Below are 27,773 nucleotides of genomic sequence, written 5' to 3' on the forward strand. Positions count from 1 at the left end.
TGAACTTAAAAGTTTAAAAAAGAAAAAAAAGGATAGTCTGGGTGAGAATCCCAGTAGGGCCTAGTCCCCACAAAACCACAGGCTGGGCGGTTAACCTGGTAGAGTGATAAGAGCTAGACAATTTGGCTCCTTACTAGCTGTGCAAGTGACTTAACCTCCTGGAGCCTCCCTGTGCCCCAATCTGTAACACGTGCATACAGTTAAATGTGAAGATGAAATGAGATCCTATGATTAATGAGCAAATAATACATGCTCGATAAACCCAGACTTCTTTCTCTTCCCTTTAGTTTGCAATGTGCCATCAGCACCTGAGGTAGAAATGTGCCTGGCCACTCCCCTAGCTCCCGGTTTCTCCACAGGAGGAAAGAAAGTTAAACCACAGAGCACTCTCCTATTTCCATCCCCAGCCCCAGCGCTGGAAAGCTTCATAGATTTTGGTCACAACAGCGCATACCTTGGGTGGCTCTTAAGTTCTGGACTCTGTGACCCACGGAGGGAACAAGGATCAATGGGAATCACTGTTCCTCACACTCAGCTGTCTAGGCTAAAGCCTCTCCTATCACCACAGGAAAAAAGGGGAGAGGTTTACACATTAACAGCGAAACAACTGGCTGGGCGCAGTGGCTCACGCCTGTAATCCCAACACTCTGGGAGGCCGTGGCGGGCGGATCACCTGAGGTCAGAAGTTCGAGACCAGCCTGACCAACGTGGCGAAACCCCATCTCTACTAATAATACAAAAATTAGCTGGGCGTGGTGGCGGGCGCCTATAATCTCAGCTACTCGGGAGGCTAAGGCAGGAGAATCGCTTGAACCCGGGAGGCGGAGGTTGCGGTGAGCCGAGATCTCGCCACTGCACTCCAGCCTGGGCAATAAAAACAAAACTCCGTCTCAAAAAACAAACAACAACAACAGCGAAACAAAAGGGCCGGTCGCTCAGCCTAGGACTCTCGGGAGCGGCTAGGAACTCAATGCACATGCTAATGAGTTATCTGGTAACGACGCTCTAGAACTAGTTTTTTTACCAGACGCACAGTGTTCCTACCCTTGTGGTCTCCCCTGAGCACTACTGCTTAGTTTGTCCCAAATGAAGTAAAATAAAGTATTTCTTTAGCACGGACCCACCCTCTCCCGCCTTTTCTTACAGGAAGCCAGGAGACGGCGCGCCCCTAAGAGAGGACCCCGGCTGTGGGAGAAGAGGAGGGAGCGGGGCGCCCCCGAACCGGCTAAGCCCGTTCGACCCCTACATGGGGAGCCCAGGTCCCCGGCGACCGGACCCCGAAGCGCACTACTTGCCTGCCAACGCCTTGCTCCGAGGCCCTGGGCGCTGTCTCAGCCGCCCCCCGCCCCCTGGAGGTGCGCGGCCAGGAGCCGCCCCCGGTGAGTCAGAGGGAGGGGCCCGGCCGGTCTGAGCTGGCGGGGAGCCCCTATGGGAGGCTGGGGCGCCCGAAAGGGTCCTAGAATTGGGCGTGGGAAGGAGGGTATAGGGGAAGCTAAGGACAAGCTTACTGTGCTGTAAACTTTGCGAGAGAATTGCAGTGTTCACTTCCATTCAATCGTTAGGCCCCCGGCCTCAATCACCCTGTGAACAGCTACTGTTCTGTGAGAGCCTACTATGTGCTTGGTGCGTCCTCACATCTACTATCATTATTCCTGCTGGAAACATGAAGTCTTTGGGAGGCTCAGAGAGGGTAACTAACTTGTCCAGAGTGTCACATTGCTAGTTCAGTAGCAGAACTAAGATTTTTTTTTTTTTTTTTGAGACAGGGTCTCACTCTGTCGCGGCACCTGGAGTGCGGTGCTGTGATCACAGCTCACTACAGCCTCAACCTCCCAGGCTCAAGCAATCCTCCAGCCTCAGCCTCCTGAGTAGCTGGGACTGCAGGCATATGCCACCACGCCCAGCTAAACTTTTTTTTTTTTTTGGAGAGACTGTGTCTCACTCTATTGCCCAGGTTGGTCTCAAACTCCTGGGCTCAAGTGATCCTCCTGCTTTGGCCTCCCAAAGTGCTGGCATTATAGGCATGAGCCACCGCACCCAACTGCTGAACCAGGATTCTAACCCAGGCTGATCTGACCTGCAACACCTGACCCTTCTCTTCTTTATTCAGAGGAAAACAGGCCAGCAAGCATCTGCACCAGGAGGCCAGGCCTTCTGGAAATGTGTTGGACAGCGATGGGTCCACACTTCCGCCTTGGCTCCTGAATGTGGCATAGCCAACCCATGAGAGATGTCAGTTGACAAAGAGCATGAGGATCAGGCCATGGCCTTGTGACACAGTGGTAAGATCCTTTTGTGGGAGGCAGCTTCGAAAATCCCAACCAGAATGAGTTTCTCTGAAGTCCATGGGTGGGGCCTGGGGTAAGGAAACAATCTTTCTATCTGGGTGACCTCAGACAAGCACACTCCAGCAAGGAGTCCTCGGAAACCACCTCCCGCTGCCTACTATCTGCCTTCCTTTGACCAACTCTGCTCACTCTGCAGACTCAGCTTAAATATCCCTCCTCTGAAACTCCCTCTGCAGTGCTCCCCAGGTATTCTGGACATCAAGCCACTGGGCCACCTGCATCTACACGCCCATGGGAACACTTCTCAGGCACACCCGATAGCAAAAGTGGATTTGGATCCATGGGCAACCTGGCCTGCTTCCAGACAACTAGGCCTCTCCAAGGTTGTGCCCAGGCATAGTCCTTCCAGAGCATTCAGTTTTTGTTTTGTTTTGCTTAGGTCAAATTTATAGTGAAATGCACAAATCATGTGTACATTTAAATCAGTTTTGACAGATGCAACACCCATGTAACCCACATCCCTACCAAGATATAAAACACTTCTATCACACCAGAAAGTTCCCTCCCCACCATGTGCTTCCTCCACCATAATGTTAGCACCTCTAGCCAGGGACCGTGTCAAGTCATCCTTGCAATCCCAGCACCCTGCATAGCGCCCAGCAGGTAATAGGCACTCAAAAAAATTTTTACTGAATGCATTAACAGATTAGACAGCAAAACCCCCACATTCTAATACTGCCCAGATTCTGTTGCCTCGGGATAATCCCTTAAGACTTCCTAGCCACAGATTCCTCATCTGTGAAACGAGAACAGAAGCCCCAGTCCTCCTACCTTGGAAGGTTGTGAGGATTCAATGAAAGGCTGCTTTTTTTCTTTTTTCTTTTTTTTTAAGAGACAGGGTCTCACTCTGTCACCTAGGCTCTGGAGTGCAGTGGCATGATCATAGCTCCCTGCAGCCTTGAACTCCTGAGCTCAAGTGATCCTCCTTCCTCGGCCTCCCAAAGTGCTGGGATTACAGGAGTGAGCCACTGTGCCCAGCCGGGAGGATCCGCAAAAAGAATGAAGGCCTGGACAATGCAAGATACCATCACCATTATTAATAAACTCCTACTTCTAGGATGAACACCTGGCTGAAGAAACCCAGGAGAGAGAAGCACTGGACACTGGCTTCTGGGCTTAGCTGCTTGGACTCTGGCCAAGGTCTGGGGATGTCCAGGACAATCAGCTTTCTGCTTCTGTGCCCATAAACTCGGGGTATGGACTCATTTCCAGTGCTGAGAAGTTCTGAAATTGCAAAAGATTCTTCCTAGCAAGTTCTCGACCTGTCTTCTAACTACCCTGCCATGTGGCCCTCTCTGGGCCTCAGTTTCCCATCTGTGAATGAAAGCACTAGACTCGAAGGGTCCCTTCTGGCTCCTCTAACTCCAACCGAGAGGCACAGCTCAGGCTGAGCAGTTGCATTTCCTCATCACGGGGGACTGACAGGGATCTTTTGCAATGCTCAATTCTAACATCAAAATTCCCCCAAATATTCCTTTTTTTTTCTTTTTTCGAGACAGAGTCTCACTCTTGTCGCCCAAGCTGGAGTGCAATGGCACAATCTCAGCTCACTGCAACCTTCCCCCCCGCCGGTTCAAGTGATTCTCCTGCCTCAGCCTCCCGAATATCTGGGACTACAGGCGCACGCCACTATGCCAGCTAATTTTTTTGTATTTTTAGTAGAGACAGGGTTTCATCATTTCGGCCAGGCTAGTCTCGAACTCCTGACCTCAGGTGATCTGCCTGCCTCGGCCTCCCAAAGTGTTGGGATTACAGGTGTGAGCCACCTCACCGGCCCCAAATATTTATTTGAAGACATTGATTCAGGATGCTTCTAGCCATTAAATTTGATTTGCAAATGAATTTTTCTGGATCACCTCACAGGCCCTGGGGAATGGCCAGGGGTCTGGGTGGCCATATTTTCCGAATAAAGCTCAAAACCAAAACTTTGGTTTTGCCTTTTCTTAAATCACTGCTAGGTGCTCAGGGGCAACCAGAACAGTGACATGCTGGAATTCCTTGTGACTTCTTGGGAAAGTGGGACTGTCCAGTACAGCATGAGTGGCCTGGGGAGGGCACCAGGTGCCTGGGATGGGGGGACTAGTCCCCCAGAAGACAAGTTTACCCCTGTACAGCCAGCGTCACACTGGGTACTCAACACCATAACAGCTAACACTATTGTGTGCTGCCACTATATGCCAGGTGCTATCCTTGATATGATTTTCTCATTTAATCCTTGCATTTACTCTCTAACATGGATCCTCTTATTATCCTCCTTTGACAGATGAGGAAACAGAGATAAAGAGAGATAAAGTAGGTCAAAATCACTTGTTCTAGGTCCCACTTAGTAAGCGGCAGAGGATAGATGGGAGCCATGTAGTGGGAGTCCATGCCCTCCCCACTATCACCGCATGCTAGTGCCAGTTGTGAGTCCTTTCACATGCAAACAGCTATCTCAGCTCTTTTTTTTTTTTTTTTTTTTTTTGAGACAGAGTCTGGCTCTGTTGCCCAGGCTGGAGTGCAGTGGCACCATCTCGGCTCACTGCAAACTCCGCCTCCTGAGTTCAAGCAATTCTCCTGCCTCAGCCTCCCGAGTAGCTGGGATTACAGGCACGTGCCACCACGCCCGGGTAATTTTTTCTATTTTTAGTAGAGATGGGGTTTCGACATGTTGGCCAGGCTGGTCTTGAACCCCTGACCTCAGGTGATCTGCTTGCCTCAGCCTCCCAAAATGCTAGGATTACAGGCGTGAGCCACTGCGCCCGGCCATACCCTCCCTTTTGAGGTGAGGCTCTTGAAGGCCCAGACCTTTCCTCCAGTGCTTTGAGGTCTGATCCTGATGATAATAACACCTCACTCATAACCTGGACTTCACAGTTTACAAAACACCCCTCCTCCTCACCCCCTCCCAAACTCGGTTTATTTTTGTCGTTAAAGCAGAGTTGTAGGCCAGGGTGGACCATAGGTTTTCTTGGTCACGAGAGACTTCCTCCCTCCCTGGGCTCCCCTCTGTAGTGGTGCCAAATAAAAATCTGATCAGTCAAGCCTGTAAGGTAACTAGCGCTAATGTGCAGAGCCAGTCCTGGGCAGGCCTGTTCATTATTTTGCACACTCTTACACCGAAAGGGCCCAGGACCCTCGCCTGACCCAGCCTTGCCTGCCAGGCCTGGGCTGGGTCTCCCAGCCCAAATTCTCACAAGAGGGCCGACTCCGGCCAGAGCGCGCCCCTCTTTGTGCCTCGGTTTGCCCACCTAGAGGTCAGTCCCGCAGGCGTGGCGGGTACATCTCAGGGTCGGCAGAAAGTGCCACCGGGAGCCCAGCCGGAGTTGAGGGCCTCGCGCCGGGCCCACTGTCCAGATCCAGGGCTCACGAGAAAAACGAGGACGCAGGAGAGCCACACGCCAGGACGCGTGTAAGGCCCCAACCCGGCCCCAGCCTGGGCCCTAGACCCCTAAGAACTACAAATCCCAGCAGGCAGTGGGCCGCGGGGCGGGGTCTCGGAAGCTGCGGCCTGTGGTGCCTTTGCTGAGCCCAGGTCCGGAGGGCCCTCGGGGACGGGAGCACCACAACAGACCCCCGGACACACTTACACACACAGTCTCACAAACACACAGTCACACACGCACACACACACACGCGCGCGCGCGCGCCTTTTGGCCCCTCCCCTACAAACTACAAATCCCGGCAGGCAGCGGGCCGTTGGGCGGGGCCTTGGGTGCTGATCCGGACGCAAAGATTGCGCCAGCCAGGGTGGGATCCCGGTAGCTAGGTGGGGGCTACCCTGCTGGGGAAGAGATGGCCTTCTCTCCTCGCAAACCCAGCTCCCCACCCCTGCACGCGCCCCTCTGCCCTGGAGTCGCTGGTCCGAGCCCTCCTTCTCTGCGAACCTGAGCCCCGCCCTGCCCTCCCTACGAGGTTGGGGCCGTGGGAGATGAAGATGGTGGGTGGGGGGTTGGGCCCACAGCCTGCTAAGCAGGCAGAGTGGCCTCCTGAACCCTTCCTCCATCGCCTAGAGCAAACTCCCATTCCTGGAAGGAGGAGCAGCCCAGACCCTGAGACTGGACTAGGTCTGTTAGGGTCCCTGTGTGGCCGGCAGGACTCGTGGTGAAGCCCGGGGAAGGCCTGGGTCCTCCAGGTCAGGGATGTAGGTCCCAGGGTGTGCAGGCCGCGGTATCTGACCATCGTCGGCGCCCTGCGCCCAGGCATCAATTTTACATGGCAGAGTCAAGGTGAGGTTAGGAGGCTGCCAGGAGGTAATAACCAGGGCGCTCGCATTCAGCATCCTCTCTCTCAAAGCACTCTCCTCACACCTCAGGGTCAAATGTCAGAGCTCTTGTCCTAACTTCCCAGGTTGCCCAAGGAGCTTCTGAGGCGCTACAGAAGGGACTTACCCAGACCCTTCAGTGCAAGCCAGGAACTCAGGGTCCGGCCTGCTCGGTAGGATGAGCTGTGCTGAGGCCCTACTTCATCCACCCTTCTGGGCCAGGGCAGCCTCTTTCCAGAGGCCTCTTCTCAGCTGATTTCTGGCTCCCAAGCGGGAGACTCAGGTTACACCTGTATCGGGAGCAGTGACACCACAGTGGCCAGCAACACATTGGACTTTCTGTCTCCAACTCCATTTTCAGCTTTTACACTTCCTGATCTGGGCATATACTGCTACATACTGGATCATCAAGGAAGGAGGAAAATACCTAGTCAATGAAGGTTTAGCCATGACCTTGTAAGTCAGTGAGATTTCATTCTTGTGTGGTTAGTTCGAGGCGAGCTACTTCCTAGAAATATTTCATTTGATCTCTAAACACCTAGAAACAGCTCCAAAAGGGATATTCAAAGTAGATTGCCCAGATTCTCTTGATAGCAGATGTGGGGTTCATATTAACTGGTCGCGTGGTCTCTAAGCATGCCTATTTCTGCCTGGGAAGTTCTCAAAGGTTTGGTTTTCTGAGTGTTTCTGTTAAAACAATCAGCCTTTTGTTGAGTAGCCCTTTTGCCCCTAGAGAGGAGAGATAGGTACCATAGAAACTTGGAGACAGCTATTGACTCAGTCCCTGGACTCTTTAATAAGAGCCCGTTCTGTTTTGTTTGTTTGTTTGTTTGTTTGTTTCCTGAGACAGAGTCTCGCTCTGTCTCCCAGGCTGGAGTGCAGTGGCGCAATCTCGGTCCACTGCAACCTCTGCCTCCCGGGCTTAAGCGGTTCTCCTGCCTCAGCCTGCCTCAGCCTCAGTAGCTGGGATTATGGGATCACAGGCGCACACTACCACGCCTGGCTAATTTTCGTATTTTTAGTAGAGACGGGGTTTCACCATGTTGGCCAGGCTGGTCTCGAACTCCTGACCTCAGGTGATCAGCCCACCTTGGCCTCCCAAAGTGCCGGGATTACAGGCATGAGCCACCGTGCCCGGACTGAGCCCATTCTCTTATTATTAGAAATCTTATTATCAGAATGTGAGCTTCTGCATTCCAGGGCTTCGCACCAGACCCTCAAGTCAGTAATGACCCTTGGGACATGCAGTGTGCCAAAAGCTGTTGAATGCCCATTCCTGCTCCCTGAAGATCCAACCAGCAATCAGCAGGGTGCAGTTAAAGTCACAGAGCAGTGTTGTTAGGTCATTACAGGGAATGTGGCTAAGGAAGGGCAAAGCCCAGCAAAACTTGTCCTAACTTCCCACGTTCTTTCGCTCTGCGGGCCTTGCCTTCATTTACCTTCCTGATAACTAAAGCCTGGGTCGGTGGTCCTCCAGGCCACGCCCCTTCCACCGTCAGCCTCCGGGCCCAGGAAATGAGCGACAGGCTGCCATGCCCCTCCTCACCACCAGGGGTCGCCCTCTCCCGTGGAACGACTGCTTAGGTCCCCACAGTGGCCCGGGACGGGGTGAGGGGACTGTGGCTTTGGCTCTGTGTACATCATATGGCCTTGGCCAGCATCCATTCTTCTCTGGCCTCGGCTTTTCTGTTGGTAAAAGGGAGGGAGGGTGATCTCAGGGCCCTCCAGGCCCATCAAGGAAGGAGGTGGGGTTGGAGACGTCGGGGAGCCACTGTGTCCAGTCTCTCCTAACGGGGAGGGTAGAAGACCAGCTGGGAACAGGAGAAGCTTGGCTCCCAGGCTCTGTGCTGAAGAAGGAAGCCTAAGCAGGGCCATGTTACATTTGGTGGAGGAGGGAGAGTGTAGGGGAGGAACAGACGCCGGCCGCTCCCGCTAAGGAAGGCAAATTGAGGAAAGGACCCAGTGGGGTGGGGAAGGTCGGCCAGAGGTATCCAGAGAACCAGAGAAAGTGAGTGTGAGGGAGTCCTTGGTGATCCATCTGCGCTGGGGAAAAAGGTTTTCAGCAGATAAACAGCCGGGACCTCGGGGGATTGTGCCTCAGCCTAGGCCCGGTAGTCGAAGACATATGGACAGGAAATGGGCAAGACACGGGCCTTTCAGAGAAGAGAGACCAAAGATGTTTGCAGAGAGGCAGGCTTTGCGCAACCTGTAAAGAATGAGTAAGGTTTGAATAGCAGCTACAACAAATATTGATTGAGAGCCTGCTGTGTGCCAGACTGTGGGCCCGGCACTTGGAATTTGGCCGTGAACCTAGCAGACACAGTGGCTGCCCATTTACATAGCGTGCAGTCGAGTGTGGGAGTTTACAGTCTAGCTGTGAAATAAACCTGTAGGTTTAATTATGGTGGGAGCTCAGAGAGCGGGGTAGGAGACTGTCCTGGTCTGGGACCTCCACTGCTGAGGAAGGGTCACCTAAGCTGGGGCCTGCAGGAGGAGGGAGGAAAGGGGCCAGGATGTTCCAGAGGAGGAATAGCAAATGTACACTCCAGATAAGAAGGGCCTGGTGGAGATTAGAAAGGGTGGAAAGAAGCCATGTCACACTGTGTTTGCAACCACTCTCCCCCACACCCAACCTCACCTGTGTATCCTGTGTACTTGGTCACCTCCTGGGCTCTCTTGGGGGCAGAATCTGGGCAGCGGGGGAATGGATCAAGCTGAAAGACAGCTAAAGAGACTGTGGCTGAGTGCAGGATAAAGAGCCAAGGTGGAAGGGAGAGGGCTGGGCTCTGGGAGACGGGGACATCTGTGAAGAGGATATTGCCATTTTGGGGGTAACATTTTTTGAAGTATGATATACATATAGAAGAGTCCTTTTTTCTTTCTTTCTTTTTTTTTTCTTTTTACTGTTGTGCTGCATATTAAGAATGCCCTCTTGGTCGAGTGCAGTGGCTCACACCTGTGATCCCAACACTTTGGGAGGCTGAGGCAGGAGGATTGCTTGAGCCCAGAAGTTCAAGACCAGCCTGGACAACATAGTGAGACCCCATATCTGTTTTTAAATTAAAAAAATTAAAAAGAATGCTCTCTCTCTTTGTCATATTCTGTAAAGATTGAGTAAATATCTAGAAATTCCACTAAAATTTCCTTAAGTCAACAGGACACAGAATGGTCTGCCTGGGCCTCAGTCACATTGGAGGAGCAGAGAGAGAAGGTGAGTGTGAGGGAGTCCCTGGGAAACAATGGAGGGACTGGGGATGGGGAGGTAGGAGGGGCCTGATCTTTCCAGGCATCAAGAAGCATTTGGTTTCTGTTCAAGGAGCCATGAGGAGTCACTCAAGGGTTTTAGGCAGAGCCGTGACACAACCAGAGATACTACGAGCAAAGGTTCCGGAACAGGGCAGGGCAGGACAGGTGAGTGGGACAGAGGCACACCACCTGGGTGGGACAGAGGGAAGAGGATGCTGCTGTCTGGGACACTGTGCCCTAGAGGCTGGGGAAAACCAACCTCAACTTTCAGCTCCCAGCCTAACCCTAGGAGAACCTGAGAAGAACTAGTGGAATGCCTTCCGGAAAAACAGAGACAAACTACACACCAGACTTTTGTTTGTTTGTTTTGTTTTGTTTTGAGATGGTGTTTCACTCTTGTCACCCAGGCTGGAGTGCAATGGCACGATCTCGGCTCACTGCAACCTGCACCTCCTAGGTTCAAGCAGTTCTCCTGCCTCAGCCTCCCTAGTAGCTAGGATTACAGGCGCGTGCCACCACGTCTGGCTAATTTTTGTATTTTTAGTAGAGACAGGGTTTCGCCATGTTGGCCAGGCTGGTCTCGAACTCCTGACCTCAGGTAATCCGCCTGCCTTGGCCTCCCAAAGTGATGGGACTACAGGCGTGAGCCCCTGCACCCGGCCTGTTTTTTTTTTTGTTGTTGTTGTTGTTTTTGTTTTGTTTTGTTTTGTTTTTTGAGACGAAGTCTCACTCTGCTCACTCTGTCGCCCAGGCTGGAGTGCAATGGCACAATTTCGGCTCACTGCAACTCCCACCTCCCAGGTTCAAGTGATTCTCCTGTCTCAGCCTCCCGTGTAAGTGGGATTATAGGCGTGTGCTATCACACCCGGTTAATTTTTTGTATTTTTAGTAGAGATGGGGTTTTACCATGTTGGCCAGGCTGGTCTCAAACTCCTGACCTCAACAGATCCACCTGCCTTGACCTCCCAAAGTGCTGGGGTTAGAGGTGTGAGCCACTGCACCTGGCCAACAAACTACACACCAGACTTTCTACCCACTGCCAGGGGAGACAGAGGGATGGTCTCTCACAAAGCTCTGAAACTGTGGCAAGAAATGATTGTGCACCAGGGAGGGATGGGGCAGAGGCCTCTCCTAGGGAGCCATCTGTCCCTCGCTCTGTCAGCCCTTCATCACCCATCACAGCTGTCCCGAGTCAGCTGAGTCAGCAGACCTGTGACAGCAGCAGGCGAGGGAGGAAGAGGGGCCTCTGCTAGCTTGTGTGAAGCCAGCCCCATCATCCATTGGCCCAGGACAGCCCCTTCCCTCCCTACTGCAAACTGCTGTCCCCCGGGATTGCCCCTGGCTTTAACTTGAACCCAACCACAGAGTTCCGTTGGCTGTAGGCCCTTCCACCAGGAACGTCTTGGGCCTCTAACCTGAGCACCTGCTCTGGCAAAAATGTCCTGAGGACTCAAGGCCCCTTACCCTTGTGGGACCTTCTTCTCCACATGCAGCTCCCTGCCCTGTCCCCCTGTTTCCAGGCTGGTCTTGAGCTTCTGAGCTCCCCAGCTCCTGTCCCCCTATTTCCTCAGGGACAGACCTCTCCCCACGCACTTGGCCCTAACCTCATGTTCAGAAAGTTCTTTCCTTTCTACCCCACCTAAACTTCACTTGCCTTTGTGGGTTCCCACTCTGCTGGGAGAGGAATCCTTGTGTCATCAGTACCTCTCTTCCACTCCCCTCAAGAAGGGAAACCTGGCTTTCCCATGGTGGCCCCCACATAACCTCCTGTTGGCCTGGCCTCCCGCTCCCTGGCCCTGCCTTCCCCTAGTGCCTCTGTCTTCCTGTGCTTCCTTATATTTGAAGTCCAGGTCACATCTCCCTCCCTCTTTCCCTTCCTCCCTTCTTTTTCTTTCTTTCTATCTATATTGATGGATTTTTTTAAATTATAAAAATAATTAATGGTTGGGCACAGTAGGTCTCACCTGTAATCCCAACACTTTGGGAGGCTAAGGCAGGAGGATCACTTGAGGCCAGGAGTTTCAGACCATCCTGGGCCACATAGCAAGACCTCATGTCTACAAAAAATGTTTAAAAATTAGCTGGGCCTGGTGGTGTGAGCATATAGTCCTAGCTACTTGGGAAGTTGAGGCTGGAGGATCAGTTGAGTCCTAACCTAAACTTGAGGCATGAGTTTGAGGCTGCAGTGGTCTATGGTCATGCCACTGCACTCTAGCCTGGGTGACAGGGTGAGACCCTGTCTCTAAAAATAAATAGTCCTGGCTGGGCTTGTTGGCTTACGCCTGTAATCCCAGCACTTTGGGAGGCCGAGGCAGGTGGATCACAAGGTCAGGAGTTTGAGATCAGCCCGGCCAACATAGTGAAACCCCGTCTGTACTAAAAATACAAAAATTAGCCAGGCATGGTGATGCGCGCCTGTGGTCCCAGCTACTCAGGAGGCTGAAAAAGGAGAATCGCTTGAACCTGGGAGGCAGAGGTTGCAGTGAGCCAAGATCGTGCCACTGCACTCCAGCCTGGGTGACAGAGCGAGACTCCATCTCGAAATAAATAAATAAATAAATAAATAGTCCCAACACTATACAAGTATAACGCCGTAACACTAGTTCTATCTGGTTCCACCTTCCCAGGAGACACCCATACCTGGGTTCACTGTTTGAGTTTCTTGGCATCCATTTGGTGATCCCACTGACTCTGAGGTTTCATCCCCAAATTAAAGTTCTTTTCTTTCTTTCTTTTTTTTTTTTTTTTTTTTTTGAGACTGTGTTTCACTCTTACTGCCCAGGTTTGAGAGCAATGGCGCGATTTCGGCTCACAGCAACCTCCGCCTCCTGGGTTCAAGCTATTCTCCTGCCTCAACAACCTCCTGAGGGCTGGGATTACAGGTACTCGCCACAATGCCCGGCTAATAGTTTTGTATTGTTTTTAGTAGAGACAGGGTTTCACCATGTTGGCCAGGCTGGTCTCAAACTCCTGACTTTGTGATCCACCCACCGCAGCCTCCCAAAGTGTTGGGATTACAAGCGTGAGCCACCACGCCCGGCCGGATTAAAGTTCTTAACTGAAAGTAAGAGAAACAGACTCTAGCTAGTTTAAGCTGGAAAATAAATTATTAAAACTATTCTGTAGCTCATAGCATCTCCAGCAGGGCTAGAGAGTTAGCCAGGAATAATGTCCCAAAGGTCACAGCCAAGCCAGCCTGGCAGAGCCACCCTGGACACTGATACCACTGTTTGCCAATGCCATTGATTTGGGCCCTGGGTGGTGGCACTAAGGGCTCACTCCCCTAAGCCTCTGGAAACAGGATTTGGCTGTCACCACCCTCCCAGGGTGCATTTTTCTTGGTGCCTGATGCAGGTTCAGAGTCTGGCACGGGGCCTCTGGCTGGCAGACCCTGCACCTCAGCGGCAAGGGGAGGCTGGGAAGGCCTCACCTGGCTTCTGCAATTGGAAACGAGGATTCATGAGGCGGAGAACTCCCCAAATGTAAAGCATGTTTAGCAGCCAAAAAGGATGGCAGATGTCCCCTTCTGTTCTTGGTGAGCCCAGCCACCCACATCTCCGCGGCTCTTCCTCCACGTGCTGCGCTCTCCCACCTCTGAGACCTCTGACCACAGCCTGCTTACCTGTCCCCCTGCAGGTCCTCAGAGCCACCTCCATCTTCCTCCTTGCAATGAATCCCACTCCACTCACACCACGGGTCCCGGCTACACTTCGCCATCTTCTCTGTCTGCTGGCAAAAATGACCTCAAGTATTTCTTCCATATGTAGGTTTTCGTCCACGGTTCCAGGCTCATAACTCCCACAGCCCTGTTTAGAGCCTTTGATTATGATGTTGGCTGTGTTAGGCCTCAGGAGCAGGCCTTGGGGAAACAGAATCTCTCTGGCCTTTTCCTGTCCTCCTTTCACCCGCCTAAGGCCGTACTCTAATCTTCCTCCACCTTTCTGATTGTGGGACCCTAATTCCAGAGAGGGTCCTGCCCCATACTCTGGGAGAAGGAATGCTGTGGTTATGAATCTTCTATAAAAACCCAAGAGGCCTGGTTCAGAGAGCTTCTCCATAGCTGACCATGTGAGGCTCCTAGAGTGTGGTGTGCCCACGGAGGGCATGGAGCCTCCACACCCTTTCCCACTATTTCTGCCCTACACATCTCTTCATCTGTATCCTTTGCAATATCCTTCATAATAAACCAGTAAACATAAGTAAGTGTTTCACTGAGTTCTGTGAGCTGCTGCTCCAGCAAATTAATCAAACCCAAAGAGGAGGTTGTGGGAACCCCAGCTTGAAGCCAGTTGGTCAGAAGTTCTGGAGGCCCAGACTTGTGCCTGGTATCTGGGGTGGCCGGGCAGGCGTCTTGGGGACTGAGCCCTCAACCCGTGGGATCTGACTCTGTCTCCAGGTAGGTAGTGTTGGAATTGGGTTGGAGGACACCCCGCTGTGTCCGCTGCAGAACTGATTGCTCACTGGGTGGTGGGGAGAACTGCCCACCCCGCCACCACGTTTGGTCACAGAAGTCTGCTCTGTGTTGACTGTTATTGTGTGAGAGCAGGGGAAAAATCCATTTGAGTTTTATCTAAACACCACTGTGTGTTTTCTGAGGGTGGATTAAGACTACCTTGGGCCCATGGCCTGTTCTCAGTAGCTGAGACCTGAGAAATTTGGAGAATCACTTTGTGCTATGGAAGGACCATAAAACAGGCACTCAGGTGCTGCTGGACAGTGGGGCGTTATACCTTCAAAATGTGAGTTTCTAGTAAGTCCACTTCCAGGAATTCATCCCCAGGGAATATCTATGGTGTGCACAGAGCAATTCCATGCCAAAGATGGATAAAGAGAATGTCCCAATCTGCCTGTGTGACAACATGAGGCCACTGAGGCAGCCCTCTTTCCTTCCCCTTCTCCCAGATCTGCCCAGGCCAGTGCCCCCACCCAGATGGCATGGACTCTGCCCTCTGCCTGGGGCCCTTTCACTCACCCAGGCCTTGGCATTTGCCTATGCAAAGCCCTGAGCAGAGCAGGGAGGTGGCTGGAGTGAGGGCAGCATGGACTGGGAAACTCGCTCAGGCTGAGGTTTACAGTGGGGTGGTGTCCAGAACTTCCTACTGACCCTGATTCCAAACGAGGTCCCCTTGGGTGAGGGAAGTTGCCGCCTGCCTTATGGTTCAAATGTGGAAGAAAGGTCAGCTGAGAGTGGAGGACAAAGAATAGACCCAGTAGAACCAATTCTGGATGAGGATTTGTTATTTTTGTTTTTTTGGTTTTTCCCTTTGTACCAAATGGGCTCCCTGTGAAGCCACCCCAGTGACTCTTCTTGGTTTCTTGGATGCCCTTTTGCCTGCAGGTCCCAGGAATTTTCTGGTCTTCCTCTCCATCCCTGGGTGTCTCCCCAGTGCCCCCAGCCTGGTGGCCCCCAAAGATGCAAGCACGTGGGCTTTGTTTCTCCTTTGTGCCAACAGCCAGGATGCCACCGAAATAATAAGCACAAGAAAGCTCCAGGGCCTTAGAAGTTCTCATGTCATCATTCATGATCGTGGTCTGTGTTTCCTCATTCCCTGACTTAAACAGAGTCAGACACCAGGCCCCAGCCCTCCTTTTTATCTTTTTATCGCCACGCTTCTCAGAAAGTCAAAGTTCCTAAATTCACTCAGGTAACAGAGCCCCTGGAAGTCATGAGCTCCTTAAGGAAGGTCACAATTAGCACTGCTAATTCCATCGTAGGAAAGTAGGGTCCAGACCCAATCCTGGTGAGGTACAGGTTGCTTAGCCTTTAGGGCACAGGCTCTGGGGCAGGCAGAGCTCAGGTTGAATCCCACCTCCAACACTTGCTAAGTGCATGACCTCAGGAAAGCTATTCAACTTCTCAGAGCCTCAGTGTTATGACTGAATTGTGTTCCCTTAAGATTCATATGCTAAAATCCTAACCCCCCATGTGACTATTTAGAGATAGGGTCTTTAGGGAGGTCATTAAGAATAAATGAGGTCATGGGGGTGGGGCCCTAATCTGATAGTGTGGGTGTCTTCATAAGAAGAAGAGTTACCAGAACCGCCTCTCTCTGCACAGACAAGAGGCCATGTGAGGACACAGAGAAAGCAGCCGTTTACAAGCCAAGAAGAGAGGCCGCATCACAAACCAACCTTTATGGCACCTTGATCTTAGACTTCTAGCTCCAGAACAGTGAGAAAATGACATTTCTGTTGCTTAAGCCACACAGTTCGTGGGTTTTGGTTATGGCAGCCTGAGCTGACTAATACACTCAGTTTCCTCATTTGAAAAGCAGGGATAAAACTAGTACTTGCGGCATGACGTTATTGTGAGAATCCAATGAGGAAACACACGTAATGCCTTCCTGCTTCATTTTCCTACGGCATCTTCAACGCCTGGAACAGCCTCTGGCAGACAGTGGATGTTCAATAAATACCCACTGAATGGATAAATACATCCATCAAAAAATGAAGCTGCCACACTAAATATGAGAACTTCTTTCTAAGCGCTTCCCTCGCCTTCATCTCCTTAATCGTTGGTCATCACTCACCAGCAAATGACAACAGTAGTAAAGGGTTTAAGAAAAGTGTCTGCAAGGCCAGCATGCTGTTTTTAATTGGATCTGCCAAATAATGTAATGTTGTCTATGAGTTGAGAAAGGTGACACTGATCAGAGAGCTGAAGGAAGCCTGAGAACCCTGGTCCAGCTTGGCTCTTCCTCTTATCGTGCAGAGGGGCTGGAGACCACAGCTGGGGGAGGCCCGCCTAGGGGAGGCTCAGAGACCTGGGGCTGGGCCCTGAGAGTGTCCTGGATGAAGTTGGTCCAGGGTTGGAGGCCACAGCAGATCTACCTTCCTGGTGTTTAGGAGATGCAAATGATGGGAACAATGGAGCCCTTGTCCCCAGGCCATTTGTGGCAGATCCTGGGCTCCAGGGAGGCAAAGCTCCTCTGCCTCTGCCATGGTAAGATGTGGTCCCGGGACGGCCTCAGGCATGTAAACCTGCCCACCTGGGAGGCCCAGGACTCGGCCACGGGGGTGGTTGCACTGACCCCTGTACTCCCCACCCTGGCTTTTTCCAGGACAAGCTCAGTGGGAGCAGGCCCCGGTGAGTACTGGGACTCCTCTCTCCCCTGCCCTCCCCTCTTGTCTCTCTCTACCCCTCCTCTCCTGGGCACAGCCATCCCAGGAGCTGTGCTGTCTCTGCCTGGCCCCTCTCTGCCCAGGGAGACCATTCACGCGCCTCCACTTCCTGTCAGCACTAGGGCTCCCTGACTCCCGGCTTCCCCAGGGCACCAGCTCATGCAGTTATGCACCCACGGGCACCAGCTCTGCCCCCAGCCTCCTTCTCTGCTGCCCTGGTACCAGGGTACCTGTCAGTCACACTGTCATGGATGTGAATGTCCCAGAACACAGCGTCTGTCTCATAGAAACTCCAGGGCCCCTTGGGCAGAGTTGACTAGAATGTGCTTGCAGGCTGGGGCCACCGCTCCCACCCCCCAGATGTGTGGGTAAGTGACACAGGGGGTCAGAGGGGCCCAACAGACTGGGATCCCTTGCAAGTCAGGTCCCCCCTGAGTGACTCTGCACACCTCCTGCCTCCCAGAGCCCAGCACTGCTGAGTCACAGGGGCCTAGCTCTCCCATCTGTCTTGGCCAGAGTCAAGGGTGCAGGGGACAGGGGATGGGCATAGGTGGAAGGGCCCCTTGTTTCCAGACTGCCTACCTCAGTGGCCCCGTGGCAGCATTGGGAATGCCTGTGATGAGTGGTTCCTTTGAGTTGAAGCACTGGAGGGCGGGTGGTTTATTATACTGGGGAAAGGTGGGCAGGGAGGAGGTGAGGCCAGCTTGTCTGTCCAGACTCCCCAGGTTGGAGAGAAGATGCTCCCAGCCCTTCCTTCCTGCCTGCCCCAGGGACTTGGAGACACAAGGTGAGTCTGCCTACTGAGGTTGGGGTGGGGAGGCAGCGGCCAGAGCCTGCTTTGAACACCCTCTCCCCTCCATTCCTGCTGTGCTGAGCATCCCTTCCTCCAGGCCCAGGAGGAGGACGAGGAGGAAAATAAGTATGAGCTGCCCCCCTGTGAGGCTCTGCCCCTCAGTCTAGCCCCTGCCCACCTTCCTGGCACTGAGGAGGACTCCTTGTACCTGGGTGAGGGCTAGGAGGTGGGAGGCAGGGAGACCAGGTGCTTGGGCAGGGCAGGAGGGTCCCCACAAGACAAGAGGACATAGGCCTCGCCTCTCCTCCCCTGCCCGCACTAAGGCAGCAAAGGAGGCCTCAGCTGGCAGTCACCAGGGCCTCTTGGCTGGGCAGGGAGAGAGAGAGGGATGAAGGAACGGAGGGAGGGAGGGTGGGAGGGAGGAAGAAGAGTGGGAAGGGAAGAGGAGGGGTGGTGTAACCAAGGCAACAGCAGGGGCCTGGCATTCCCCTTCTGAGATCCCAACACTTCTTCAGGCCAAGGGCGGGGGTGCTGGGAGAGCCCCGGCTGCCGCTGGCATCCCACCCCCACTGCTCAGCTCCTCGGCCAGGTTGGGGCAGGGAAACTGCCCGCCTCCAGTTGCCATGGAGACTGGGCTGTCAGGAAGCCAATGAGCAAGGGGAGCGAGGAAAGGAGGAGGAAATGGAGGCTGGTCGGGGGGAGGCGGGAGGAAAATGGGAACCCACCTGGGAGGAACCCACCAACTCACAACAAATGCGATCTTTTCCAGATCACTCTGGCCCCCTGGGTCCATCAAAGCCATCGCCACCCCTGCCTCAGCCCACCATGGTGAGAGGCCTCTCCAGAAGTCCCTCCTTCCCCACCCGCCCCATCCCAGGCTGCCATTTCCCAGTGAGTGAATCTTAGAGGCATCTCATTTGCAAGATTCCCCCACATTTGCATTCAAGAGGCCCCTGAAAAATCAGATGCCAGATGCATGAGAAGCCAGAGCCCTGCCGCTGTCAGTCACTCCTCCAACTCGCCTGGCCTGGTCCTTCCAGCCTCCCCTTCAGCTTCACCCACGGTGCCCTTCTCATGTCTCTGAGGGGGAGGGGAGGGGCTCAGCTGCCCTTCCCTTGGATTCTGGGGCCTGAGGACCCCTCCCCACCTCCAGAGCAAAGAAATCCCTTCCTCAGCTGTCAGTCACTGCCAGCTCCCATTCCCACCTTTATCCCAGTGGGACTTTATGGATTTTGAAAGCTACTACCTTTATCATACATTTCACTAAAATTTTTGTAAAAAGCAGGGAGCGATTCACAGCAAAGAAAGAGCCACAGGGTAGAAGCAAAGGGAAGAGTCATCCCTTTTGTACATTTTTTAAAGCTACACAGATACAAGTGGTCCCATCCCATCCTATCCCGCCCCATCCTTGCCTCCTGCTCTCACCATCTGCGCTCACCAGCCCCACTGTGCCCACAGCTGAAGGGAGCAGTGAGCCTGCCGGTGGCCGGAAAGCAGGGACCTATCTTTGGGAGGCGAGGTAATGGGGATGTCCTCTCTTTCTGTGGCTCCACCCTGGGACGGGGAGTACTCCCGCCACGGGGTAGAGCTGTGCTTGCCTGACATGGGTCTCATACTCTGCCCCTTCATGGCACTCCCCTGGCTGTGCCCCTTTTTAACCTACCAATCCTCTAAGGTAGGCAGGCAGGTGGCGTTGCCTCTAATGAAATGAATGAGGAGACTGAGGCCCAGAGATATGAAATATTGTGCCTAAGATCACACAGAAGCAGAGTCTGCTCTTTTTTTTTTTTTTGGCTCGGCTGCTCTGATTTTTTTTTTTTTTATTGAGTCGGAGTCTCGCTCTGTTACCCATGCTGGAGTGCAGTGGCACGATCTTGGCTCACTGCAACCTCTGCCTCCCGGGTTCAAGCGATTTCTGGCTAATTTTTGTATTTTTATTTATTTATTTTTTTTGTTTTGTTTTGTTTTGTTTTTTTTTTGAGACGGAGTCTTGCTGTCGCCCAGGCTGGAGTGCAGTGGCGCAATCTCGGCTCACTGCAGGCTCCGCCCCCTGGGGTTCACGCCATTCTCCTGCCTCAGCCTCCCGAGTAGCTGGGACTACAGGCGCCCGCTACCACGCCCGGCTAATTTTTTGTATTTTTAGTAGAGACGGGGTTTCACCGTGTTAGCCAGGATGGTCTCGATCTCCTGACCTCGTGATCCGCCTGCCTCGGCCTCCCAAAGTGCTGGGATTACAGGCGTGAGCCACCGCGCCCGGCCGAATTTTTGTATTTTTAGTAGAGACAAGATTTCACCATGTTGGCCAGGCTGGCCTCGAACTCCTCACCTCAAGTGATCTGCCCGCCTCAGCCTCCCAAAGTGCTGGGAATTACAGGCATGAGCCACTGTGCCCAGCTGCTATGATTTTTTGAACAGTCCAAAGTCATTTGGAGCCAGGCCTGCCAAGTCAGTTGGGAGGTCAGGAAAGGTGACACCATAGGGCTGTGCAGAGAACCATCAGGGGATGAGAAAAGCTTTCTCCTGGGGCTTCAAAGCTGGCTCTGAGATGTCCTCCTCGGAGGCACCCTAAGGAGACTCTGCTTTTTCAGCCTCAGTCCCGCTGAATTCCTTTCTGCTCCCTGCCGTGCATGACAGGTGGTTCTCTCCTTTTCCTTTCAGAGCAGGGTGCATCGTCCAGAGTGGTGAGCAGCCCCTCCATTTCCACCTCAGTTTCCAGGCTTCTGGTTAAGAAACTGGCAGGGGTGGGGTGGGGCCTAGGGAGGGCCAGGAAATATCCCTGAAACCAAGGGAAAAGGCCCAGAGCAGGGCCCCTGCCCCTCAGCCACAGGCCCCTGGCAGGCAATGAGCCAGCTGTCCTGAGGGTGCCGCCCAGGGATCCTCCTCACACTCTCTGAGAGCTGGGGCCCATGGGCGCCTCTGAAGGGGAAGGTGCTCGTGGGATGCCCCCTCTGAGACAGAGGAGAAATTGTAATCATTCAAGCTAGCTCCCAGAAAGAGGGTCACCATGTGAGGAGGGAGTGAGGTGCCTGCCACCCCTTCAAATCGATGGCTCCTCCCCCAAAACCCCAGTCCTAAATGGAGCCTCAGGACTGGTCAAACCCATGGTCTCACACACCCCTCCCTACCTTAGGTGCCAGGCCCTCCAAAGAAACCTGATGAGGACCTCTACTTGGAATGTGAGCCGGATCCAGGTGAGCCCCTCCCTCAGCTCCAGACCCCTCCTGCCCGAGGCCCTCAGCTGCTCACAGCACAACACACTCTCCTGGCTCCATCTGCTTCCCTTGCTGCCTCTCACCACCCCCCACCAACACGCATTTGCCTTCAGTCACCGCATGGACATCACACTCCTGCCTGTGGTCCAGGCTGACCCACACTGTGCCAGCAAGGGAGGTGCTCCCCTTAGAGCATGGGCTGGGTGGGGCTCCCCAGCTGCTGCGGCCAGGACAGCATCTGCCTCTGGTTGGAAGCACTCCCAGAAAGTCCAGGCTGCAGAGAAGCAGCAGGCCCTGCAGCTGTTCTCAGCCCTGCCCTGGTCAGCATGGATTCCCTGCCTGGTGCTCAGCCGAGCCCAGCCTGCCCCTCCCTGTTTCAGTCCTGGCTTTGACTCAGACTCTCAGCTTCCAAGTCCTGATGCCCTCAGGCCCTCTGCCCAGGACATCAGTGGTGCCCAGGTAAGTGCCCCACCAGGTGTGCACCTGTGTGTATGTATGTGAGACACAGAGAGAGACAGCACCCCAGTTCAGGCTTCCCCAGCCCTGACCCTGGGATGGAATCTCCTTGCACTGTCCCATGGTTGTTGGCAGTGGTGGCAGGGGCAGCTTGGAATGCTGGGTTCACTGGCCCTTTCTCTTGAAAAACATAAAGACCCTGAGTTCTGTCCCCCGATTTGCTTCCCACAGGCCTACCACAGCCCCCCAGGAAACTCGGAATGTAAGAGGCTGATGGTCAGGGGAGAAGAGAGGGAGGCAGGGAGGGAGGCTCAGGGTGGGACCTGGGGCCCGGCCTCTTCTGATCAGACCTCCTGTATGCCAGGGAACAGCAGATGCTGCCTCTAAAGGTGAGTAAAGGCTGGTCCAAAGGTAGTGAGTTATCCCAACTGATTGTTCACAGTCAGTTACAGATCAAACTCCTTGTTCTACCCTTTCCCCACTTCTCACTACTGCACTTGACTAGACTTAAAAAAAAAAAAAAAAAACTAGGTGAATGCAGGCATCTTCAGCATGAATGCAGGTGGTCCTGCCAGGGCCTGCCCCAGCCCCAGCCCTGCAGGCCAGACTCCCTCAGGCCCCAAGTTACTGAGGATGTCCCTGAAGCTCTGACTCCAGCTGAGATCAGGCCTGAGGGGACCCTCTTGGGCATTTTCCGGTGCCTGCACCAAATCAGGAAGCTCCTAGTCTGTGCCCCAAGATCACGCCTCATTTGGAGGTCACACGAGGCCTGGCTGGTGGGTCCTGCCAGGGCACTGGATCTGGAGAGTGGAGGAAGCACTGGGTGCCGGGGTTTGGGCTCGGGGCCATGTACGCCTCCTCCTACCCCCCACCCCCGCAGCTGTCCCCTAGAAGCCACCTTTGCCCACCCCCACCCCACCCCACCCCACCCCAGCTCAATAATCTGCTTCTTCTAGAAGGAAGGAAATCGTCTCTTCCCTCTGTAGCCCCCACTGGGAGTGCCTCAGCTGCTGAGGTGAGGAGGGGCTGGGAGCAGGCTGTAGGGAGAGGTTCCGGGAGCAGAGCCTGAGAGTCCTTACCCAGGAACCCTCTTGGGCTGAAGGGTGCACCACTGCAAGAACACATTGAACACACGTGTGCGGCACCCCGCCGTGCCCCAGACAGGGACACCACTTTGTTCTGCCTGAGGGGGACTCAGTTGAGCATAGGAGATGGGAACATAAATAACTGCACCCTGGGTCCTCGGCTCCGCATGCCTGATTGAGTGCCCTGGCATGTTTCTGAGTGACTGTGTGTATGCACAGGACAGTGATCTGCTGACTCAGCCTTGGTACTCGGGGAACTGTGACCGCTATGCTGTTGAGAGTGCCCTGCTCCACTTACAAAAGGTGGGCAGCCACGGACCCCGGGTCTTCTCCAAAACCCCTTTTGCTCACAGGCTGTGGCTGGCCGAGCAGTGGGGAGCAGGAGGGCCAGGAGGGTTCTGGCCCCATCATGGGTCAGGGCAGTGGGAGGGCCATTGGAAGATGAGGTTGATGGCTGGGGTCTCCTCCACAGGATGGGGCCTATACCGTGCGCCCCAGCTCAGGGCCTCATGGCTCCCAGCCCTTCACCCTGGCAGTGCTTCTCCGAGGCCGGGTCTTCAACATTCCCATCCGGCGGCTGGATGGCGGACGCCACTATGCCCTGGGCCGGGAGGGCAGGAACCGTGAGGAGGTGGGAGCTGGAGGAGGCAGGGGCCTAAGGAGGGACCACAGAGCAGTACCCCAGGCCTAGCCAAGAGCATTTGCCTAGGGAAAAATCTTCATTTTGTATCTTTCTGGGGTGGGCAGAAATGACAGAGCCCAGAGCCCTGAACTCCTTCCAGACACCTGGCCCTCTGGTGGGGGAGGTGCCCCTCCTGCCATGGCTCAGTCTGCACAGGGTCGAGGTGGGGCCTTTGTGCCTTTAATGAACCCAGCTGGGAGGAGGGCGGGGTCCAGGATCTTCAGACTCTTGTCTACCTCCCCCAGGACTCAATGTCGCACCCAGCATTTGCTAGGATGCAAACTAGAGACACCCATCACACAGCTCCCCACGCTGGAGGACCAGGGCAGAGGCGCACCCTAGAGTCAGTTTGATCTAGCCTTGGACATAAGAGTCTGGCCAGTGGCGTGCCCATGGGTGCAGCAGCAGGAAAGTTGCCTGAGGCCTGGAACGGGGCAGCAAAATGGCAGTGGAGCGGCATGGGGCAAACAGGAAGGAAGATATCTAGAAAAATGTCAAAAGTCCCCTTGCCAGAGTCCCACAGTTGCCTCAGGAAATTGCTCCCAGCATGAGGCTCATGGGACTCACGGATGCCCTGCCTCCCTGGCCAGCTCTTCTCCTCCGTGGCGGCCATGGTCCAGCACTTCATGTGGCACCCTCTGCCCCTTGTGGACAGACACAGCGGCAGCCGGGAACTCACCTGCCTGCTCTTCCCCACCAAGCCTTGAGGCCACAGCGAAGTACACACCGCCTTTGGCCCCAGTTTGCTTCTTGTCCCGCCCCACCTTGGGCTGTCTTCCTCTCTCCTTCCCCACCCCTCCTCACCCTAGCCTTTCCCAGTGCCCACAAGCAGCATTAATGGGGAAAGCCTGCCTGGAGGCCCAGGGAAGGGTCCTGGAGACCCCACCCCATGCTCACCTAGAGCCTTCCACTGCCCTCTCTGTTGCCTCTCCAAGGCTGACACCCTCTTCCTGGCCTCCAGGAATGCAGGTGTCTGCCCAGTTCACTAGGTCCTGGATGAAGGAACCGTGGTGGCCTAGACCAGTCAGGGGACAGCACAGGCACTGCTGGAACAGCAAAGGATCCTCTCACATCTACTTGTGGGCCTAGGGCACCCTGAGAGGGACTGGCCTACCTTGCACAAGTTCACATTCAATAAACATTTGTTGAATGAATTATTGAATCTGCTAAATGAAGCAGAGGTGTCCTGCACGAGGGAGGCCCCACGGTTCTCAAGTGTCACAGGGCAGACTAGCCTGCAGTTATGGAGATGCAGGAGCTAGGCCCGGGCAGAAAGGGCCAGCCGTTTCTACCCCAGATTGGGGCTTTTACTTTTAGATGCTCTGTGCCGAGCGAGGCCAGGCTGAGTGGCTGATTTTTGTTTTGATTTGTGGGAGTTGGAGTGGGGAAGGGAGGGAGGCGCAGTGCTGTCTCTGACACCCTATTAAATGAGGAGAATGGAGTCCATTACCTACTCCTCCAACACCTACTTACTGTACCTTGCTCCCGGGGGAGTGATGAGCCTGATTTTGGGAGCTTGGTGTTGTCTAGAGGAGGGGAGACAGTGGGCCCCGGGAAACAACTAGATCTGATGCTCCAGTCTAGAGTCAAAGCTAGGGAAAGCTGAACAGTGGCGCTCAGAGAAGACAGGACAGCGGGCGAGAGCTTGGGGGGCGATGGGAGGTGGAGAGGCACTCCAGGTCCCCAGGGGGCCAGGCGGAGCTGCGGGACAGGGCGCAGACCCCGAGGCCCAGGGAGCACCGGGTGGCCGGCGGCCTGCAGGCTGGCGAGGGCGTCGGGCGGCGCAGGGCAGGCCAGGGGGCGGGGGCGTCTGGGGCCCTGGCGTGGCGCCCGGAACACCCCGTGCCGGAAGCTCCATGTGACCGTGACTCCGCAGAAGCCGCGAGCGCAGCGAAACAAAGGGCGGCTCTGCGGCCGCCTCGAGCTCAGGCTGGCACCGAGGGCCCGGACCCCCATCCCACTCCGCACCCCCGGGCCTCCCGGCCCTTCTTGCCCTCCGACCCCGGGCTCTGGCAGGGCCGGGAGGCGCAGGAACCCCGCGGGGGATGGGGCCGGCGGACTGGCACTGAAGACACTGGGATGCAAGCGGGAGGCTGGGGGCGGGGGGCTGGGGGCGGGGGGCGGGGCTGCAGGGCGTGGACGGTCTCCGTCAGTGCCGGCTCCTGCGGATTACCGCCTCGGAACCGTCATTTCTTGCCTGTAATAAGGGGAAGATAATCGTCCCTACGTAATCGTCCTCCGGTTAGGAGGCTTAAGTGAGACATGCCACGTAAAGGGATGCCTGCGTAAAGGGGTGCCTGATGGGGAGAAGGAAACACCAAATTCGGGCCAATTAGCTGCCACTGTCAAAATCGCTGGGAAGACACAGTTATCGGCCAGGGCACCAGGAAGGGGCACGGGCTGGGGCAGCCGTCATAGGGGTGGGGTGCGGGGGGCGGGTGGACACCGGTGTGTGTATGTGAGGAAGGGACCAGCAGCGGAGGCCTCTAGCAGAAACAGGAGAATAGGAGACCGGCAAGACACGCCTTCAGCCCCACTGGCCCAGCCCTGGCTCCCTCCAGAACCTGGCCTCCGTCCTCCACACCCTCCCCAGCATCATCCCGCAGGCCCGCAGGGGCTGTGGAGGCTGGGGAGCTTGGCACCTTGGGCTGGGACTCAGGGTACAGTCAGCCCCCTAGTATCCCCACAACAGCTCTACAGGTTCCACTTCCCTAGAGGAGCTCTCCACTCTGTGGCCACAAAGGCCTCGGGACTCAGGGGCCTGTTGTTACTGAGCCCCGCAGCCATGAGGCATTTGGTGGGGGAGTAGAAGTTACAGCCCAGAGCTCCTGAAGTTAATGGCCCAACAGGGACTCTGATTTTTCCCAGCTTAGGGACTAACTTCAAGGAATTAGCCTCCATTCCTCCCCTCCCTGGGGAGAAAGAGAGGAGGAGCAGCTAGGCAGTGGGACAGTCTGTAACCCGGGCCCTTGAGGGCAAAAAGGAACCTGTTGCCTGCCCAGTACCTCCTCAGCTTGCAGGCCTGAGCAGATGGCCCCTTGTCCAGGGAGCCTTCACCACTCCCCCAGCCTGGGCCCAGGTACTTAGGCCGTCGTCTCTTCACTCCCAGGACAGACCGGCTACTACTGCCCACTATTGGATATTCTGGGCCTGGAATACAGCAGGTGGCGTGTATTTATTGAAAGAGTGATCAAATAGGTCAAGTCTATTCTGGATTCCTCTAAAGCTGATAACATTCTTTTATCAGGGCCTCCTTTGTTAAGTGAAAAGTCCAATCCAGTGCTGTCCAATAGAACTTTCTGTGATGATAGAAACGTTCTGTATCTGCATGGTCGAGTACAGTAGCCACCAGCCACTGGGGGTCATTGAGCACTTGGAATGTGACTAATGTAACTGAGAAACTGAATTGTTCATTCACGATTTAATTACTTTTAAATAGCCACATATGGCCAGGGTTCCAAGTCTCATGCCTTCGCAAGTGTGAGGGGCAGTGGGGAAAGCTGGAGAGGTCGGCAGGGGCTAGGTCTGGAGGAGCCTGGGAGGCCTCCATAAGGCACTGGGGAGCCATGGAGGCTCTGAGCAGGGGTGGATGCAGGAGGGATGATGGTATCCTAGGAGCATCACTCTCGTTGTGTAGTGCTGAATGGGCCAGAGGGGCTGCACAGAGGCCAGGGGAACATTTAGGGGCTACAGGTATTCTGATCATTCAGGCGAGAGATGAGTCCCCTTGATTTTTCACCATGCCAACATCCCTCTAAGCACCCCATCCCCATTTCCTCCCAACCAGCCGGCCAGACTCTAGAAAATTCTAGGCAGGGTCACCGACTAGGGGATTAAGTCTTTGAGAACTGCCGTTTGGAGGCCGGGTGAGGTGGCTCACACCTATGATCCCAGCCTGCTGTGGCGGGCAGATCACTTGAGGTCAGGAGTTCGAGACCAGCCTGGCCAACGTGGTGAAACCTGTCTCTACTAAAAATACAAAAATTACCCAGGCCTGGTGGCACATGCCTGTAATCCCAGCTACTTGAGAGGCTGAGGCAGGAGAATTGCTTGAACCCTGGAGGTGGAGGTTGCAGTGAGCTGACATCACGCCACTGCACTCCAGCCTGAGAGACAGAGCAAGACTCCGTCTCAAAAAGAAAAAAAAAAAAAGTGCCTTTTGGTGAAGAAGCCCGTGTATTACAAACAGACAGTGGGTTACCTGTCTCCAGAGGCCGGGGAGGGTCTGTAGCACAGGGAAGCTGAAGGAGTGTGCAGCTGAGAAGGGCATGAAAGCCTCAGCAAAACCATACCTGCCGGGGCTCAGAGCATGGTCTAAGCAACCTTCTGCCAGGCTTTCAGCTTTGGTTTCTGAAGAGGCAGTCTGATCTTTGGTGAAAACACGGGCAGAAGGACCCAAGTTTCATTCTGGCTCAACCACTCACTTCCTGCGTAACCTTAGCCTCAGTCTCTCCACTTTTATGTTTTTGAAACCGAGTATTACTCTGTCACCCAGGCTGGAGTGCAGTGGCATAATCTTGGCTCACTGCAACCTCCACCTCCCGGGTTCAAGCAATACTCCTGCCTCAGCCTCCTGAGTAGGTGGG

General features: G+C 54.5%; 2 protein-coding genes and 1 long non-coding RNA gene across 34 annotated transcripts in view, besides 14 other annotated features; 2 read left to right on the top strand and 1 right to left on the bottom strand.

Moving 5' to 3' along the window:
* The window catches only part of CAPG (capping actin protein, gelsolin like), a 27,939-nt gene extending 21,087 nt beyond the window's left edge, over window positions 1-6,852 (bottom strand). For 2 of the 7 annotated variants that reach the window (XM_047445951.1, XM_047445953.1), the window contains exon 1: window positions 6,719-6,852. The gene's annotated coding sequence lies outside the window, so the exon portion shown is untranslated. Of the gene's footprint in view, window positions 1-454; window positions 562-1,295; window positions 1,329-5,578; window positions 5,745-6,718 lie in introns of those variants that run through there. The other 5 variants (XM_047445948.1, XM_011533122.2, XM_047445950.1 and 2 more) reach the window with 4 other exon arrangements.
* Window positions 782-1,283: an enhancer, noted in NCBI's record as "H3K27ac hESC enhancer chr2:85640593-85641094 (GRCh37/hg19 assembly coordinates)". NCBI's record gives its function as "activates a minimal SCP1, AML or CMV promoter by ChIP-STARR-seq in naive H9 embryonic stem cells {active_cell/tissue: H9 hESC(naive)}" and the evidence as "EXISTENCE:reporter gene assay evidence [ECO:0000049][PMID:30033119]".
* On the top strand, window positions 1,023-4,273 carry LOC105374841 (uncharacterized). Its single transcript, XR_940316.3, has 3 exons — window positions 1,023-1,379; window positions 2,111-2,282; window positions 3,406-4,273. It is a non-coding gene; the product is annotated as an uncharacterized LOC105374841 (long non-coding RNA).
* Window positions 1,179-1,228: an enhancer, noted in NCBI's record as "active region_16123". NCBI's record gives its function as "activates an Ori minimal core promoter by ATAC-STARR-seq in GM12878 lymphoblastoid cells {active_cell/tissue: GM12878}" and the evidence as "EXISTENCE:reporter gene assay evidence [ECO:0000049][PMID:35858748]".
* Window positions 1,359-1,438: a silencer, noted in NCBI's record as "silent region_11698". NCBI's record gives its function as "represses an Ori minimal core promoter by ATAC-STARR-seq in GM12878 lymphoblastoid cells {active_cell/tissue: GM12878}" and the evidence as "EXISTENCE:reporter gene assay evidence [ECO:0000049][PMID:35858748]".
* Window positions 5,367-5,476: an enhancer, noted in NCBI's record as "active region_16124". NCBI's record gives its function as "activates an Ori minimal core promoter by ATAC-STARR-seq in GM12878 lymphoblastoid cells {active_cell/tissue: GM12878}" and the evidence as "EXISTENCE:reporter gene assay evidence [ECO:0000049][PMID:35858748]".
* Window positions 5,473-6,008: an enhancer, noted in NCBI's record as "NANOG-H3K27ac-H3K4me1 hESC enhancer chr2:85645284-85645819 (GRCh37/hg19 assembly coordinates)". NCBI's record gives its function as "activates a minimal SCP1, AML or CMV promoter by ChIP-STARR-seq in naive H9 embryonic stem cells {active_cell/tissue: H9 hESC(naive)}" and the evidence as "EXISTENCE:reporter gene assay evidence [ECO:0000049][PMID:30033119]".
* Window positions 5,487-5,646: an enhancer, noted in NCBI's record as "active region_16125". NCBI's record gives its function as "activates an Ori minimal core promoter by ATAC-STARR-seq in GM12878 lymphoblastoid cells {active_cell/tissue: GM12878}" and the evidence as "EXISTENCE:reporter gene assay evidence [ECO:0000049][PMID:35858748]".
* SH2D6 (SH2 domain containing 6) lies at window positions 6,026-24,341 on the top strand. 26 transcript variants are annotated; one of them, NM_001394463.1, is made up of 24 exons: window positions 6,026-6,242; window positions 6,341-6,556; window positions 9,515-9,626; window positions 9,742-9,802; window positions 9,908-10,002; window positions 12,620-12,719; window positions 15,896-16,009; window positions 16,684-16,780; window positions 16,899-16,924; window positions 17,293-17,327; window positions 17,676-17,746; window positions 17,850-17,964; window positions 18,522-18,580; window positions 19,211-19,271; window positions 20,411-20,433; window positions 20,883-20,943; window positions 21,345-21,423; window positions 21,652-21,682; window positions 21,785-21,809; window positions 22,377-22,435; window positions 22,725-22,808; window positions 22,978-23,136; window positions 23,778-23,906; window positions 24,149-24,341. In NM_001394463.1, the coding sequence occupies exons 8-23, from the start codon at window positions 16,778-16,780 to the stop codon at window positions 23,892-23,894; spliced, it is 1,008 nt and encodes a 335-aa protein (NP_001381392.1). In that variant the 5' UTR covers window positions 6,026-6,242; window positions 6,341-6,556; window positions 9,515-9,626; window positions 9,742-9,802; window positions 9,908-10,002; window positions 12,620-12,719; window positions 15,896-16,009; window positions 16,684-16,777; the 3' UTR covers window positions 23,895-23,906; window positions 24,149-24,341. The 26 variants fall into 26 exon arrangements, 25 of the variants coding, with proteins under 25 accessions (NP_001381392.1, XP_016859328.1, XP_016859330.1 ...); NR_172131.1 differs by lacking the exons at window positions 6,026-6,242; window positions 19,211-19,271; window positions 22,725-22,808 and having other exon boundaries at window positions 6,243-6,556; window positions 9,749-9,802; window positions 24,123-24,341; XM_017003845.2 differs by lacking the exons at window positions 6,026-6,242; window positions 6,341-6,556; window positions 9,515-9,626; ... (2 more) ...; window positions 12,620-12,719; window positions 17,850-17,964 and having other exon boundaries at window positions 15,250-16,451.
* Window positions 7,875-8,024: an enhancer, noted in NCBI's record as "active region_16126". NCBI's record gives its function as "activates an Ori minimal core promoter by ATAC-STARR-seq in GM12878 lymphoblastoid cells {active_cell/tissue: GM12878}" and the evidence as "EXISTENCE:reporter gene assay evidence [ECO:0000049][PMID:35858748]".
* Window positions 18,922-19,593: an enhancer, noted in NCBI's record as "H3K27ac-H3K4me1 hESC enhancer chr2:85658733-85659404 (GRCh37/hg19 assembly coordinates)". NCBI's record gives its function as "activates a minimal SCP1, AML or CMV promoter by ChIP-STARR-seq in naive H9 embryonic stem cells {active_cell/tissue: H9 hESC(naive)}" and the evidence as "EXISTENCE:reporter gene assay evidence [ECO:0000049][PMID:30033119]".
* Window positions 19,594-20,264: an enhancer, noted in NCBI's record as "H3K27ac-H3K4me1 hESC enhancer chr2:85659405-85660075 (GRCh37/hg19 assembly coordinates)". NCBI's record gives its function as "activates a minimal SCP1, AML or CMV promoter by ChIP-STARR-seq in naive H9 embryonic stem cells {active_cell/tissue: H9 hESC(naive)}" and the evidence as "EXISTENCE:reporter gene assay evidence [ECO:0000049][PMID:30033119]".
* Window positions 20,265-20,935: an enhancer, noted in NCBI's record as "H3K4me1 hESC enhancer chr2:85660076-85660746 (GRCh37/hg19 assembly coordinates)". NCBI's record gives its function as "activates a minimal SCP1, AML or CMV promoter by ChIP-STARR-seq in naive H9 embryonic stem cells {active_cell/tissue: H9 hESC(naive)}" and the evidence as "EXISTENCE:reporter gene assay evidence [ECO:0000049][PMID:30033119]".
* Window positions 24,765-25,194: a silencer, noted in NCBI's record as "silent region_11699". NCBI's record gives its function as "represses an Ori minimal core promoter by ATAC-STARR-seq in GM12878 lymphoblastoid cells {active_cell/tissue: GM12878}" and the evidence as "EXISTENCE:reporter gene assay evidence [ECO:0000049][PMID:35858748]".
* Window positions 25,205-25,314: a silencer, noted in NCBI's record as "silent region_11700". NCBI's record gives its function as "represses an Ori minimal core promoter by ATAC-STARR-seq in GM12878 lymphoblastoid cells {active_cell/tissue: GM12878}" and the evidence as "EXISTENCE:reporter gene assay evidence [ECO:0000049][PMID:35858748]".
* Window positions 25,558-26,074: an enhancer, noted in NCBI's record as "NANOG-H3K27ac-H3K4me1 hESC enhancer chr2:85665369-85665885 (GRCh37/hg19 assembly coordinates)". NCBI's record gives its function as "activates a minimal SCP1, AML or CMV promoter by ChIP-STARR-seq in naive H9 embryonic stem cells {active_cell/tissue: H9 hESC(naive)}" and the evidence as "EXISTENCE:reporter gene assay evidence [ECO:0000049][PMID:30033119]".
* Window positions 26,075-26,590: an enhancer, noted in NCBI's record as "NANOG-H3K27ac-H3K4me1 hESC enhancer chr2:85665886-85666401 (GRCh37/hg19 assembly coordinates)". NCBI's record gives its function as "activates a minimal SCP1, AML or CMV promoter by ChIP-STARR-seq in naive H9 embryonic stem cells {active_cell/tissue: H9 hESC(naive)}" and the evidence as "EXISTENCE:reporter gene assay evidence [ECO:0000049][PMID:30033119]".

Source organism: Homo sapiens, chromosome 2 (assembly GCF_000001405.40).
Source record: "Homo sapiens chromosome 2, GRCh38.p14 Primary Assembly".
NCBI classification, from domain to species: Eukaryota; Metazoa; Chordata; class Mammalia; order Primates; family Hominidae; genus Homo; species Homo sapiens.

Bases quoted from the DNA above. Each gene is read 5' to 3' on its own strand.
- SH2D6 (XM_017003839.1), top strand. From the start codon at position 17,119: ATGCAGTTATGCACCCACGGGCACCAGCTCTGCCCCCAGCCTCCTTCT. The intron at 20,434-20,882 runs GTGAGCAGCCCC...TCCCTACCTTAG, and splicing joins AGGGTGCATCGTCCAGAGTG to GTGCCAGGCCCTCCAAAGAA. The intron at 22,809-22,977 runs GTGGGCAGCCAC...TCTCCTCCACAG, and splicing joins CCCTGCTCCACTTACAAAAG to GATGGGGCCTATACCGTGCG.